This window comes from Homo sapiens, chromosome 4 (genome assembly GCF_000001405.40).
Source record: "Homo sapiens chromosome 4, GRCh38.p14 Primary Assembly".
Classification (NCBI taxonomy): Eukaryota; Metazoa; Chordata; class Mammalia; order Primates; family Hominidae; genus Homo; species Homo sapiens.
In genome coordinates this window covers 126,991,997-127,007,774 of record NC_000004.12, presented here as the reverse complement: position 1 = coordinate 127,007,774, position 15,778 = coordinate 126,991,997, and the positions used below count along the sequence as shown (strand labels likewise).

Genomic DNA, 15,778 nt, shown 5'->3' with positions numbered 1-15,778 from the left:
GGCAATTGTGCCTATAATTCCCATTCAGCGCAGGCGATCTCACCAAACACGGCTTTGCATTTCCAACTTCCAAGGCGATGCCCTTGACGTTCAATTTGAAAAGAAACTGGCTTAGAAAAATAGTTTCTCTGAAATAATGGTTTCAATATTTATTTTGCATGAGCACGATATGTTTGAGATAAATTTGGGCTACTTCCAAGGTAACTCTAGGGACTTCTGTGGTATATCTGTAAGTGTTTACAAGACAAAGTTTGCAAATTACTTAAAACCAGGAATAGTTTGGTAACTGAATGCTTCCTCATTGAGAGGGAAATAGATTTCCCCAAGAAAAAACAACCACACTAAGAACAGTCTGACCACTTCAACAGAATGTTAATAAGTTCCAGCATATGTGGCATGTGGATGTGGCAAAGAAAGAAACTTTTTCTACCATATGTGTCTGCCCATGTGCTATATATGTAAATGTGTCAATACTGTGTCATCAGCACTATTATCTTGTTTGGGAAGAAATGTCAATAATAATTCTTAAACTAAATTCATATTTTATGTTGCAACATATTTTCAAAAAACCCTACCCCATGATGTTTATTTCTTGATACAACAAGAATTTAATTTTTTTTTCAAGTTCTATGCCTGGCAGGGCATTTCTCCAGCCTCTATCCATTCCCTTACTCTACCCATTTGGGTTCCATGACAGCCTATAATAAGAAACTGTTCTACTTCAAAAAAGATTCTGTAATTCTTCTTCAGGGGAACTATTAGATTGGTGCAAAAGTAATTGCAGTTTTGCCATTACTTTCAACCAACCTAATACATCGGCATCTGAGAGTTATGTATACTGAAGACTTCAATACAGTGAGAAAAAAATTGAAACGGTGGCTTTTAAAATTTTAGGGTATATAAAAATCACCATGTGAGCTTGTGCAGATGCTTGGTACTTGCCTCTAGAAATTATGATTGTGTAACTCTCAAGAGGTGCCCAGGAATCTTCATCTTTTATTCATCACTGCAGTTAATTCCAAGGCAGTTGTTTCACAAGGCAGTTGGACTTCACTTTGAGAAGCACTGCTCTTAAAGCTTACTTCAATTGTGCCTTATGGGTCTGCAGCAGATAGCTCATTGCAGTAGATGTTGTGTTTCACTTTGGGTTGCCTCCAAAGTGTTCTCTTGTGTATGAAAAATTTTATGATTTGAATTGCAGATTTCATTCAGCAAGGCCCCACTGGCTTACACATTCAACAATAATACCATGGAAGCTACAATAAAGAGGCAGATGCTTGGCTCCTGCTGTTCATGTGGTAGAAATGATCATATTCAGCAGCAAAATCCAGAGTGAGACTGGATGAAACTTAATCAGTCAAGTCAGTTTCCAGAACTATAATCCATTCCTAAGAATGAAGAACTACAATATGCAAGTCATTAAAATCATTACATCAGTCAAGTATTTGAAGAAGGGATTTATGTTTATGCCTTTGTTTTATATATAGCCAGACCACTTAATACTATAATTTTCTCCACTGATTGCCAAGATGACACTCTTAGAATGAATTAAAATGACATTTTGTGAGTTTCGCACTTGAAATCCTTAGGCAAATTTGGTGATAATATCTGAATTACTAATAAGCAGTCTGGAGACATATACTATTGTTTTGTGGTTGAAGAGCTGTCATTATTTTTCCTAAATGCTTTATTCTTTGAATAATTGTCTAGTAAATATTTAGAAGAAATGTAGCTCATCAAGTTGTAGTCTCAGATGCCTTCCTCCCTGCCTTCTTTCCTTCCTCTCTTCCTATCTTTTCCTTTCCCCTTCTCCTCCTCTTCTTCTCCCCTCTCTCCTTCCCTCCTTTTCTTCTTTTAAATGTACACATTTAAGAAACAGCTTTGTTGAATTTTGTAATGGCATGGGCTAGTGATGTTCTTCTAATTTTCATCTTATTGTTGACTAAGAATTTTAAACAATGATTTTAATTTCTTAATGACCAATTTCTTCATTTTTCTCAAGAGTAAGGTGATACTGATTACAGTTCAATATACATAGAAAGTTGAAATAACACCAAAATCTTCACTTATTTCAAAGTAATGGTGGGTAAGCACAGACATTTGTGTCTTCTATGAAAGAGTATGTTAATTTGAAGTAATATATTTTGAAACAGAGTTTTGCAGATTTGTTTAAACCATCATTTCTGAGGATGAATATAGCATGTGCCAGAGAAGTCCCTTCCAGAGCTTTACATTTAGTTTAAATGATGCCTGACCCTCTTGTGAATAACTGCTCTTAAAAATAAATTGTTGATGCTCCTGAGGAGAATACAGTCTTTCAGAGCTCTGGCAAACTCCATAACTTACATCTGATCCACCTTACAACTGGGTCTCTGTTTGTTACATTTACAATATTGGCCATTTACTTTTCTTTTTAGTTTCTTATCAATATTTTGAAAGTATTTAATTATATTTTACATTAAAAATAATATGGTAATTTTATTTTTCCAGCACAGACATAGCTTGAGCTAATCTAGATGCAAACCATAAAAGCATCTGTAAATTCTTCTTTCTTCATAAGAATCTCCGCATTTCTTTCTGACACTCAGAAGGCCAAAACACATGATTCTGAGAACCTGCCTTGTGACTCCCACACCCCTCTTGCAAGTTTTGATGAACAGCCTAACTATGACTTTAAAGTTCTTCTATAATTTATTGTCACAGAGATATCAGGAAGAAGATAATGTTTAGATGAAGAAAACAGCCTGTAGAGAAATTGTCAGAGTCATATTGTCAGAGTCACCTTGTTGATATTATATTGACTTAATGAAATTAACATTAACCCCCAGCATGAGGTAGAGAGAAGAATATTAAACTAGGAACCAGAGATCTGACAGTGTCATTAATGACCCAAGGAAAGTCACCTAGTCTCTCTGAACTTCATATTTCCTAACTGTAACTTGGGATAATAAAATAGTTTTTTTGAGGATCATATCAGATAATCTTTTTAAAGTACATTATGAACTATGAAGTACTAAATAATGTTGAGTTTGTATCTATTAGGTTAAGAAAGACATAACTCTTTTATTTTAGACATAGTCATTGTCTAAAATGACACAGTCATTTTAGACATAGCCTAAAAATGACTGAGTTCCAATGAGTTACTAGCTTACTAGATTATTTTTAGCAAGAAGTTTATAAAAAACAAGTTTGTATCATTAGAAAATGACATTTTCTCAAGTGAGAAATTTGACATGTGTTAATTAACTGGAAATTGTTGAAAACTTTGTTTACTGGAGAGATACACAGCAGGTAAATATGCTCCTTCTGTGAAACTATATTTGTAGTTCTTATTTGCTGAGATAAGGTCAATGATGAGAAACAGTAATGCCTGGGCTATGCTAAAAAAAGCTTATTCAGTAAGATAAAAAATATGAATTTTATCAAGATATTATGTATGACAGCGTTAGAAGTCATGAAATTCCACTGTGCCTTTATTTCCCTCCATTCCTAAATACTTGCAAGCAAAAAGCAAGTAGTGTTTCAGCAGATAAGTCACTGGGTACCACCAGGACCGTTAGGGCTAAGTTTTTTTATTGTGAGGTTTAGAAAAGAGCTTCTAGAACTGGAAGAATAAAAATGGAGGAAGAAACAATGGTAGTACTATGGGGAAGAAGCCAGAGGCTTTTTTTTTTCTCTTCATCCCATGACAGATGGTATACGGTATACCTATGCCAATTTCAACAAGACTATGTCATGAAATGAGGACTCTGACAAGGATTAGGGGTTAGCACCATGATATTGAAAGCAGGATTCATTGCTGAGAGTTTGGGCTGGGTGCTGCTGGGGTAGAGATATTCTCTAAATCCTCAGGAACCAGGGGCATTATATCATATGGATTTTTTTCAGAGAATTCTGTTTCTGTATTCCTTCTGTAGATTCAATGTTTGATTTATTTTGAGGTTTCATTGAATCTCTTTGTATAGTATCATTGGAAATAAGAGGACAGTGTTGGCTACGCAACAAATTATGTTTTCTGGATGACATGTGTAAGAACAATACTAACTGAACTGAGATAAACTAAAAGGGTGATCAGGGCTTTTATGTTACATGGTGCAATTCTACAGGAAGGATTCAAGTAATTAATTATACTTTCTTTAGTTCTAAATGATTTAAGGTAATTTTGTATGATTTTGAAGGTTACATAAAATTGAGCCAATTAGAATACAATAAAAATGTTTGCAAAAGAAGGAAGTTAAGCAAATGCAGAAAATGATATAAAATAAAGAGAGTGTAGGCACGGGGCAGAAACAATTCTATCAAAAGTTAATCGGTTGCTCTGCTTGAGTGCTAAGTGTGTCTCTACAGTTTCTATTGGCCATTAAGAAAAGTATAATTCTCACAAAGCAAACGTTTAGAAATAATAATACCTATGATTTTCTTTTAAGGATATATTTTAAAAAGAAAAGTACTCATTTTTAAGTATCCATTAAATAAATCATAAAGATTGCTTGAGGGAGTTATAATGTCAGACTTACAATATAGCAACAATGGAAGTACTCTTCTTCCTTACTTTTTTTTTTCTAAAATAAAAGACTGGAACTCTAGTCTTCAAAATAATGTCATTTTTTTGCAACTTGGAAATCACATTCACCATGTGAGGCTGTGATGCTGAGGTAGTAGAGTGATCGAGCACTCTAAATCAGAACCCTAAAATCCTATCTACGTGTTAATTCTTGACTTTATTCTCATCATTTCTTACTAGTTAGCACTTTTTTTTGTGTGTGTTGTTATAAATAGGAATAAAAATTAATTAGCATTCATAATTTAGGAAATTTGTTGAAGTTATTCAATAAAGCTTCATAGCTTTTTATAATAACTTCTAATGAGGGATGATACAAAGTTTTTTTAAAACAAGTTTAATATTCACTTGAACAGTTTTGTCTGCCTGATATTCCATACATTCATTTATGACCCTTTGGGATGAAAGGCTGCCTGACATCTGTTTCAAATCACATTTTCCCTAATTTTTATGTATGCCCTCTTTTTCCATCGTCTGCATTAAAATTCAAAAGCAGACATGATCTATTCCATACCGGTTTCTTCTTCTGTATTGCAGATCTATAAAACTTATCATTACTGCCTTGTTTTGAAGGTTTCTTTTGTAAGCATTGTCTTCTTGGCATTTCTTTCTTTCACCTTTGACCTGAAATCAGGCATAGTTTTGGGTCTTTCTTTTGGCAGGTCAATGGTTAAAGCATCTTTTTGTAAAGGAGAAGAGCTAATCAAGTTGGCAATGCAAGAGAGGTCTGTGTATTCTCACTTCTCAGATTTGCAACACCTTCTCATGATTCTCTTAGTGCCTTTTCTTATTTCTGTGGAGTTATAAAAATTATTCCCCTACATGGTGAAGACATCTGGACTTTCTGAATATGTGTCTGGTTGTACATTGTGTATGTTGTTCTTTCAAAAAGAGAGGAATTCCAACTCTTCTGCTCTTGTTCATTCTCATAGGTTTGGTAAAATTCTTGCTTTGAATGGAGTCATTCTTTCTCAACAAGGTAAACCTTGTGGAAATTTTGTTGGAAACATCTGTGTGACATCTCTTCTATTCTGGAAAGCAGCCTGCTCATGCAGTGCTCAGGGATTCGTTTAATTAAGAGGGACAGGAGTCTGCTTTGAATTGCCTAAGGGCGGAGCTCTGAATTCTCCAGTCTTCTCATAAGAACTCTGGTCTTTGCAGCATCTCACTTAGAGATAGAAGATAGAGTATTACACTTTCTGGGAATATTCTGCTAATTTGTATGAGTGAGTTTTGAGATAACAATGAACAACTTTGTGTCCTTTCCTTTCCTGTCCTATCCTTTTCTTTCCTTTCCTCTCCTCTCCTTTCCTCTTCTTTCCTTTCCTTTCTTTCCTTCTCCTTTTTCTTTCCTTTCCTTTCCTTTCTCCTTTCCTTTCCTTTCCTTCCTTTCTTTTTCTTTCTCTCTCTGTCTCCCCTCCCTCATTCCCTCCCCCATCCCCACCTCCCTCCCTCCCTCCCTCCCTTCTTTCCTTCCTTCCTTCCTTCCTTCCTTCCTTCCTTCCTTCCTTCCTTCCTTCCTTCCTTCCTTCCTTCTTTTGAGACAGGGTCTGGTTTTGTCACCCAGGCTAGAGTGCAGTGATGATTATAGCTCACTGCAGGCTCAAGCTCCTGGACTCAAATGATCCTCCAGCCTCAGCCACCCGAGTAGCTGAGACTACAGGCACATGTCACCATATCCAGCTTATTTTTACATATTTTGTAGAGATGAGGTCTTACTATGTTTCCCAGGCTTGTCTCAAACTCCTGGCTTCAAGCAATCCTCCCGCCTCAGCCCCCAAAGTGCTGAGATTGTAGGAGTAAGACACCATGCCTGGCCTACTATGTGATTTCTATACTCCATTAGGGCTAGTAAATGTAACTGATTAATAATTAAGGCCAACTAATTTTGGCCAGTATTCATATATTATTCATGTACTTATGAAGATGAATAATACATCATTCATACCTCTGAGTTTATAATTTAATAACAGAGAGCTAATTGACCAATTTGAAAAATAATATGAATTGATTGTATTCATGTTGATTTTTAAAAAGACCTAAGTAAAATGGAGAAAACTATTTAGCCATCTTCACATAATAATCTTTTATTTCTTTTAGCTTTGTTTTCAAGTTCTGTGGTTTGTAACATGCTTTGTGGAGGACGCTTACCAAATGTTTTGTAATATCTTTGATCTCTCCATTTGTTCAAACATCTAAAAATTCCTTTGTGTTTGTAGGATGAGTGATATTTAATTCTTGGGCTTAATCTTATTGCAAGTGTGTGGATAAATTTAAAATATTTTGTTTTGGTTTCTCATGTTGTCTTCAGCTACTATAGTTACCTAGTGACAATTTCTCCTGTTCTTGACTGGTTATCGGCATGACTTGTAACTGGCATTACAGTTAATAACAGTGGTATTGATGATATGAAATGTTTTTTTGATTGAATGGAGCCTTAATCTATGGTCTTTGGGATTGGAAGATGCATTTATATTAGGTCTGTATATTAGTGAGGAGTCACGCCATTGATTATAAATGTTGCCATCTCCTGCTCTTAGTCTACTCTTCTATATTTTTCTATTAAACTTTTTAAGGAAAAATATGATTAGAATTTATATATAATTTTAAATATGCAATTGTTCTTTTAATATATTCTCTAAACATCTACATATAGTCTTGGTTATCTTGCTAACAGGTAAGAAATATCAGGAATATAGGAATCATGCAAGTGATAATTGGTGAAGTATTAAGAGATGATCAGTATAAAGATCAGCAGGAGCTGGAAAACTACAGCCTTTGAGCCAAATCTGGCTCACCATCAATTTTTGTAAATATAGTTTTATTGTAACACATCCACATTCATTTGTTTATCTATTCCTATTGCTTATTTGTGTTATGAGGGCAGAGTTGAGTTGTTTCAACAAAGACCATATGTCATGAAAAGCCTAAAATAGTTACTGTCTGGTCTTTGCAGAAAAAGTTAGCCGATCCCTGGTCTTGAGATGGCTCAGTGTATCACTATGTAATTTCCCAATGCAATGGTAAAGGCAGAGTTCATTTTTTTTTTTCTCTTAACCACACCTGACCACTTAATTGTCTTGAGTAAATTAGGACATAAGAAAATCTCCCAATGTGGTTTACAAAGTCAATTATTTCATTTGAATGAATATATTTGATTTAACTAAAAAACATTTTTTAGTGACAGAGTCTTGCTGTGTTGCCCAAGCCAGAGTATAGTGACACAGTCATAGCTCACTACAGACTTAAAGTCCTGGACTCAAGTGATCCTCCTGCCTCAGCCACCTGAGTAGCTATAGGATTACAGGTGTGTGCCACCACTCCTGGCTAACTAAAAAACAAAACTCGTTCTTTAGTTAGCCAGGAGTTTTTTTCAAGACCCAGCTGGTCTTGAACTCCTGGCCTCAAGTGTTCTTCCCAACTTAGCCTCCCAAAGCACTGAGACTGTAGGTGTGAGCCACCATACCTGGCCCTAAATGAATATATATTAAACTCATTATAGCCTGCTGTGAAAAGATGGCCATCTCTCGACTGATTTGGTATTTTGATACTCTTAGTAGGTAATGATATAATGATGTAATTAAATCATTCATTTTAATGACTTCCCCAGGAATGGAAGTAAAATCAGTAGAGTACCTCCTATGATTAGTCTCTATGCTAGTTTCCTGCATCCAGGTGGCAGCTTAATTCCAGAAAGTAGTACATTAACAACCTGGAGAACAATGTTGCCCATGCTCCAAAAGAAACATTTAGCTTCTCATACACTCTCTTGCCCAAATCTCATTTTACTGATAGGAACATTAAGTTCATTATGGCTAAATTGCCTGATTAAAACTAGAAATTTTTAGGCCGGGTGTGGTGGCTCAGGCCTGTAATCCCAGCACTTTGGGAGGCCGAGGTGGGTGGATCACAAGGTCAGGAATTCAAGACCATCCTGGCCAACATGGTGAAACCCCATCTCTACTAAAAGTACAAAAATTAGCCACGCATGGTGGCTGGCGCCTGTAGTCCCAGCTACTTGGGAGGCTGAGGCAGGAGAATCGCTTGAACCTGGGAGGCGGAGGTTGTGGTGAGCCGAAATTGTGCCAGCGCACTCCAGCCTGGGCGACAGAGTGAGACTCTCTTTCAAAAAAAAAAAAAAAAAAAAAAAAAGTAAAAATACTAAAATACTAGAAATTGTTGTAAGGGGTTAAGCTAGCATTTGATTGTAGGTCTGCACGGTTCCAAAGCCATTGCTTCTTGGCAAAACTCTACTGCCTAGTATACTACATCGAGACTCAGTGTCTTCAGAAACATCTACTTGAGAGTTGTGGACTTTTTTTTTTTTTTTCAAAATACCACCAGGATCTTTCTCAAAAGTTATCAGCTACTTGCAGAATCTTATTAACTAAACAGGTAAAAAGGAATTAAGTAGGTCTGATGCAATCTCATCTGTGTAGGGGGAAAGTGAAATACTAAAATCATGTGCACTTCAAAAAACCAACGGTTTTACAGCAAAAGTCTGCCTGGAGCTAAAAACAATCTCAACTGTGTCTGCCATTCATCCTATTTCTTTGGCAAATGTGGGAAAATGTTCATTTCCCTCCCAAGTTCTTCTGTCTAGGCCACTCTTTCTTATAAAGCTAATAATATGCAATGACAAAGGCCGTAGTAGATAATAACATGAAAGCAAGGTATGATATTATTAGTAAGCTAGAAGAACAGTCAAGAAGTTTGCGGGTTTATTATAGGCCCTAATGGAATGCTGAATAGACTCCTTAGCCTGCCATATCCTTTGATGTTGGTTCCTTTGGGTTCCTTACAATGGCCAACTCCTGCTAGAGTAATTATTGTTACTCCACTCCTTGAAACTAACTTCATTTGTAAAATAATTGACAGCTATACAAGAACCTCAGATTTGTAATGATATTTGGAATGTTTTAGTTATTTTGGTACAAGTCATTGGATCTGTTTAACTGAAAATGAAATTAACTTCTCTAAGAATTGTGAAATTTTCAGGGATAACATATCTGTGGAGTGTCTCTTTTGTCATCTTTTGTCCTGATATAGCTTTATATAGCTTTAACTTGGCTCACTGATTTATACCCAGAGGCAATTATAAACTGTTTTATAAATATTTGAATGGAATTTAATTTGCATATATGCACAGCTTGGGTATTGAAATGGATAAATGTATTGAATTATGATCCCAAACTATTTTAATTATAATTTCTCTTTTTGCATATAGATGTCAAATAACCATGATCACAAGAAATACAATTATTAATTTCTTACTTATGGTAATATAAAGTGTATTAGATGAAAATAAATAAAACATTGAGGAACAGATGCTTTGTTTACTGATTTATATAACAAATTCTAACTTATTTATGGGTTCAGTGAAATCCAGTAGCTATGATGTGAGAAAAATAAGATAATTGATTGTTTTGGCTCAACTCTTTAGGTAGTACTAAGTATAAGATTGCATCGGGGGTACAAACTGTAGGGAATGTGGATAAACAGAGTTGAAAAATATGTATTCCACATATTCTACATGTAAAATTGTAACCATATCATAACAGAAAACATATGTGGCACTATTAGCTTGATTTGAACATGCATATAAGCTCTTTCTTCCAAAATTTTAAATAGGAGCATGCAATTATAAAGGTTATTTTAGGTATGTAGAGTACACTGCATACCAACCTCATGATTAAATAGTATCAAAAAATAAGGAACAATTTTAATTAGAAGACTAGTAGAAAATAATGTTATACAAAATTGGACCTTAAGTGGATAAGTTAGGAAAAAAATTAATTAATAATTTAGCTTGAATAAAGTACTGTTTCTAAATGTAGGAATCCTGATAATCTTATCTGAATATGATTAGCCTATTAGGAAAATACCGTGATGTCATTAAGAAAATTAACATACTCCAGGTGCATAATTCTACTGGCACAATGCTATTGTGGAATGTGTTTATTCATCTGAAACCAAGAGAAATATAATTTAATTCAGATGTGCAAGATAAAGTTCTGTTGAAAACTACTAGTGGCACTTTCGCCTACTGGCACCAAGAAACAAAACCTGGGCTTTTAACAATATGTTTTAGCAAATCACAAATCTATTTCACAGAAGCAGTGTTTTCAACTCCAAATTCCATCAAAGTAGTGAATGAGGAGTAAAATACATTTTTGGATGCTAATTTGAATATTTTCTGCAGGGGAATAAACATATTTCAAGTTTATAAAACAAGTTAATGAACTTATGTTCACACTTATACATATTATTTATTAGTGATAAATTTTTTGGAGTGCTTGCTATATGTCATGCTCTGTCTTAGGTATGTATTGATATGTAAATACCTACCAAAGTACAATACCTTGTATATTAAGTTTGCTTGGAAAAATAAAAATTTTGCTTGTGAATTAAAACTAAAAATTAAAAAAAGTTTTATCCTCCCAATTATTTGGTTAAGTTTTATTTAATTCATAAATTGAAGTATTTTGGAAGACACTCAAATATTTTAATTTGAAGTGTACTAATTTTTTTAAAAATAGAGGAAACAGTATTGTTATTCTTAAGATAGCAATAGCATAAAATTAAGAAGGTGTATATCTTGCTTTAATCTGAAATTGTTCATGAGCACCTCAAAATAGTTTCAGCCTTTTAAGTCTTTTCAGTTTAACAACTGAATTAATGTTTTTTTCATTCAAAATGCTTTTTAAGATTCTCCTGTATCTTATTTTCTCAGTTTCTCACAATAAGAAAGGAGGAATTGACATTAACAGAAGGATTCTGTGTTTCTTGTCGTATAGAAAAATAACATTTTTCTATAGCACAAAGTTTTCCCTAGTAAAGTATTCATGAGAGTGCTAGGTTTGAATATGCCTGAAATTTTACTATATGTACTGTTTGCTAAATCAAGCCTGTTTTTAATTATTTTAAGTCACTTTTATCTGTTTTGGTCTAACAGTGATTGGCAATTGGAAAGAAAAGAAAAAAATATCCAGCTGGAATAGTTTTCACTAGATTCAGTTGGGAAAAGTTTTCCTTTTGAAAACATAGGTGCCTTTTAAATTAGTATCTTTGCATCACACGGTATTGATACATCATATTGAAGCCTAAAGAATGTGATTCAGAACTATAGTCTGACATACTTCCAAACTTTTCTCATCTTAAAATTCTTGATTAAATCTATGATATCCTGTTTCTGTTTCTCCTTGCATTTTCAGGGTAAAATAAATATTCTGCTTGCTAAGTATCAGCCAAACCTAGATATTCAATTCCACCTCCCCCTTCTATTTCTTAAATAATAATAATAATGATAAAGGTGAATGTGAGTTAGTCACTACTATGGTTTCAATGTCCCCTCCAAAATGTTGAAATTAATGTAATTGTGTCAGTATTGTCAACCTAAATAACAAACAGAGAGGGAGACTCCATAAAAGAAAATGATGTTTATTTAGGAATAAACATTGCAGAGGGAATACATGTGTCATAATAAACTATATGCATATTCAGGGAGTAAAAAGAAGATAAAAATTTTAAAGAAAACATGAAGAGAATTACATAATTGTTTTGAAATAGTTATCCTTGGCTACAAGGATCAATAACAAGGATGATGCCAGCTTGAATTTGCTCAGGCAGTTGCTGGACAGATGTCCTCACAGAAGTGTTTTTGTGTGTGTGCAAGGTTTTGATGGCCTTTGTGCAGGGTTATATTTTTGCAGTCTTTAGTAGTAGTTCTTGTTATCAGGCATTCATGCATGAGAACCCTTCCTTTAGGCCTCCCCTAGCTCTATTTGTCAGAGTTTTGAACATAAGTGACTCCATTTTGATTCTGACAATTTGCACATTTCCCTCTTTTGATTAAGATCTTCTCTGAAAGCATTGCTGATCAATTAATTATCTCTTACTGAAGTTTCTGTTGTCCCTTTATGTCAGGATATACCTGTCCAAGTTTAGTCTAGTGTGGTCTCACATTGGAGGGAAGTGATTGGTGACTAAGAGTCATTATCAAAAACGCTTTTAGCCACATTTGAACAACAAGGGAGGGTGGAAGGAAGTGACTTTCAGGCTAAGTCTACTTGGAGTTTATTTTTAAGTTTAATCTGTTTGTTCCGTAGGCTTTGTCCTTAATTTTAAAGTGTTGAGGGAGTATTATTTTGTTGGGAATTGTATTTTTGTACAAATTTAAGAAGTAACAGGTATAAAGTTTTTAAAGGAAAATATAAAGTAAAATAATAACCTCAGTTTGTATAATAGTTTTGAGCCATGACCCTAGGCTTGCAGGCAACTAATCCAATAATTTAAATGACCTTGGGGAATTAGGTGAGACTTAGTATAAACATATGGCCTTTACAAAAAAAAAATGTGTATATGGGTCTCACTTTTCCCAGAGGAATTTAGCCAGATATAGTATGTAGTATTAGCAATAGTACAGACATTTTCTTATTTAACTAATTAGAAATTTTAACTAATCAGTAATTTTATCATCTAGCATCCAATGACTGAGTTGAATTAAAGGTTTCAATCCAATTGTGTTAAATATGTTTTCATTCTTAGGTAGACTAAAGGATCTCTTAGGTTAGGTTTTGTCAAGTTACCAGCAGAAGCTACTGATTATAAAATTTCAGTGATAATGTTGCATTGTTAAATTAAAAAGGAAACTTTGAACCCAGCCATTCTATGTACATATTTAAATATAATATTTTAGTCGAAGCCTTGATAATATAACCAATATTTTAAATTGTATATTGTTATAAAGAGAGCAGATTATTAATAAATTTATATAAATAACCATATTGTTATAAAAAATGGGAATACACTTGAATAATTTTTGAATTTTGGAGATACTAAGTAGGGAGAAAAAGTGTTTTTATCTTTGTTTACAAAAGTATACTTTACCAAATTATTGTAAACTACAGACATGTTAAGAGAGAAAAATATTTTTAATCTGGGAAACAAAATATTTAATTAAAGAACCAACAATGTTTTAAATAAAAGTCATGAAAACATACTTAATCTGTCATTTAATCTCAAGTAATTACTTTTTGTTTTGTTTGATCTTGGTAAAACTAATAGTTGAGATCAACAAAACAAAATTTAACATTAGGGCTTGTTTACTCAAATTGTATTTTTAAAATCATTAGTTAATAAATAGTCTGAAAATCTTTTGAATTATATATACATGTATGTGTACAAATTTTGAATCTGCAGTTGAAATAGAATTTGAATATGTTTGTTTAAAAGCCTCCACATCTGTTTAGAAAAATACAAAGCTACAAAAGTTTATTATTTTATTTTTTATTTATGTATTTTATTTATTTTTTATTTTTTGAGACAGAATTTTGCTCTTGTTGCCCAGGCTGGAGTGCAATGGTGCGAACTCGGCTCACTGCAACCTACGCCTCCCGGCTTCAAGCGATTCTCCTGCCTCAGCCTCCTGAGTAGCTGAGATTACAGACATGCGTCACCACACCCAGCTAATTTTGTATTTTTTGTAGAGATGGGGTTTCTTCTTGTTGGTCAGTCTGGTGATTTATTTAAAATATATCATTGAATAATACAAATAACGCCAATGAATTCAGTTTAATTGTTTTCAGAATTAATGACTATTAACATTGCCAAATGAGGAAACTGAGACTCAGAGGGGCCACATGGTTTTTTTGATGAACCAGCATAAAGTTTGTTTATTGCAGAGCAGAAACAAAATGGGAGTTTGAATATTTTTACTATTGTGTTCTTACATCAAACTAGACTATAGAATTTTAATGTATGTATACTTTGGCCTCCAAAGATGCCTGTATCTCAATTCTGGGAACCTTTGAATATATTAGGTGACATGGCAAGGTGAATTAAGGTAGCAAATGAAATTAAGGTCGCTAATCAATTGAACTTAAAATAGGGAGAGTATTCTGGTTTACCTAGGTGTGCCCAATATAATTACAAGCCTTTTCTTAAATGTGGAAGAAGGAAGCAGAAGAGTCAGTGTCAGAGTGATTGCATGTGAGAAGGACTCCACTGGCCATTGCTGGCTTTGAATATGGACAAATGGGGCAATGAGCCAAGAAATGCAGTGGCCCTCCAAAAGCAGGAGAAGCCAAGAAAACAGATGCTCCCCAGAGCCTCAGGAAGAATGCAGTCCTGCATACACTTGATGTTAGCCCAGAGGCCTATTTCAGACCTCTGACCTCCAGCAGTGTAAGCTACTAAATTTGTATTGCTTTAGGGCACTAAGTGTATGGCAATTTGTTACAGCAGCAATAGGAAGCTAATACAAGTTAGAAACAGAGGTATAACATTTTAAATTGTAAGCGGAAGTGATTGATTTTTATATTTTAGGAATGAAGGATCTTGGTAAAGAAAAGCTGACAATATAAAGGACATATGTAGACTCTTTCCTTTGGAATTCACCAACGAGTTTGTTTTCTCTCTCAGAAGTTCTTTCAGATCAGTGTGCATCATCCACAGGGAAGATTTGTATCCGCAATTGGACATCAGCACAAATTTTTGTGTAATCTCCTTGAAGATTCCTTTAGAAGCAGTGTGGTGTGATTTGTTAAATAAATATTAGTTTCTATCAGCTCATGGTTTTGCCTTAAGGACTTTATTTCTTTTTCTTTTTAATCTGTGAAATGGGAGTGATGCTGCTCATGCCCTAGACAAGACTGGGATTTTTCTCTTTGAAGACTTAATGTGGTAAAAGCATTCCTTTTCATGTTTATTTTCTACAACTAAAGAGAGCTAGTCTAAAAGAAATTCCTGATGCTTTGATCTTGTTCATTGACAAACTGGTTTTCAAGGCCTACATTGTTTTCTTTTTCTTTGTTTTTGTTCACAAAATTAAATTTGCTTTACTTGGAATTATTTGGGTTCACTGCTATTTTCATGACAGCTAAAGAACTGTGGTTGTGACCTCCCAATTTCACTGTGGCTATAATAGCTTCCATTCTTTGTTTCCTGGGTCCCTCTCAGCAGTCATGCTGAAAGCAGTTTTAAGACCAGGCATATTTGATTTCTTGGAAGGGTTCCTGGGAACATTGTCACATGGACTTTAGCAAAGTCTGTATCTGATAAACAAGGATCTTATTCAGGCTCAGGCAAGAGGGTGAGTAAGCTGGCACAGCTGGAAAACAGGCCAACATCATACAACACGGTATCTAGTTATTAGCCCTTCACAATGGCTGATTAGTTTTCTTCCAGGAGTCATGCCAAATGGTGTCACTAGACTGA

General features: G+C 34.3%; 1 annotated feature.

Moving 5' to 3' along the window:
• Positions 12,495–12,695: a silencer, noted in NCBI's record as "peak5104 fragment used in MPRA reporter construct". NCBI's record gives its function as "represses an SCP1 promoter by STARR-seq MPRAs in K562 erythroleukemia cells {active_cell/tissue: K562}" and the evidence as "EXISTENCE:reporter gene assay evidence [ECO:0000049][PMID:32103011]".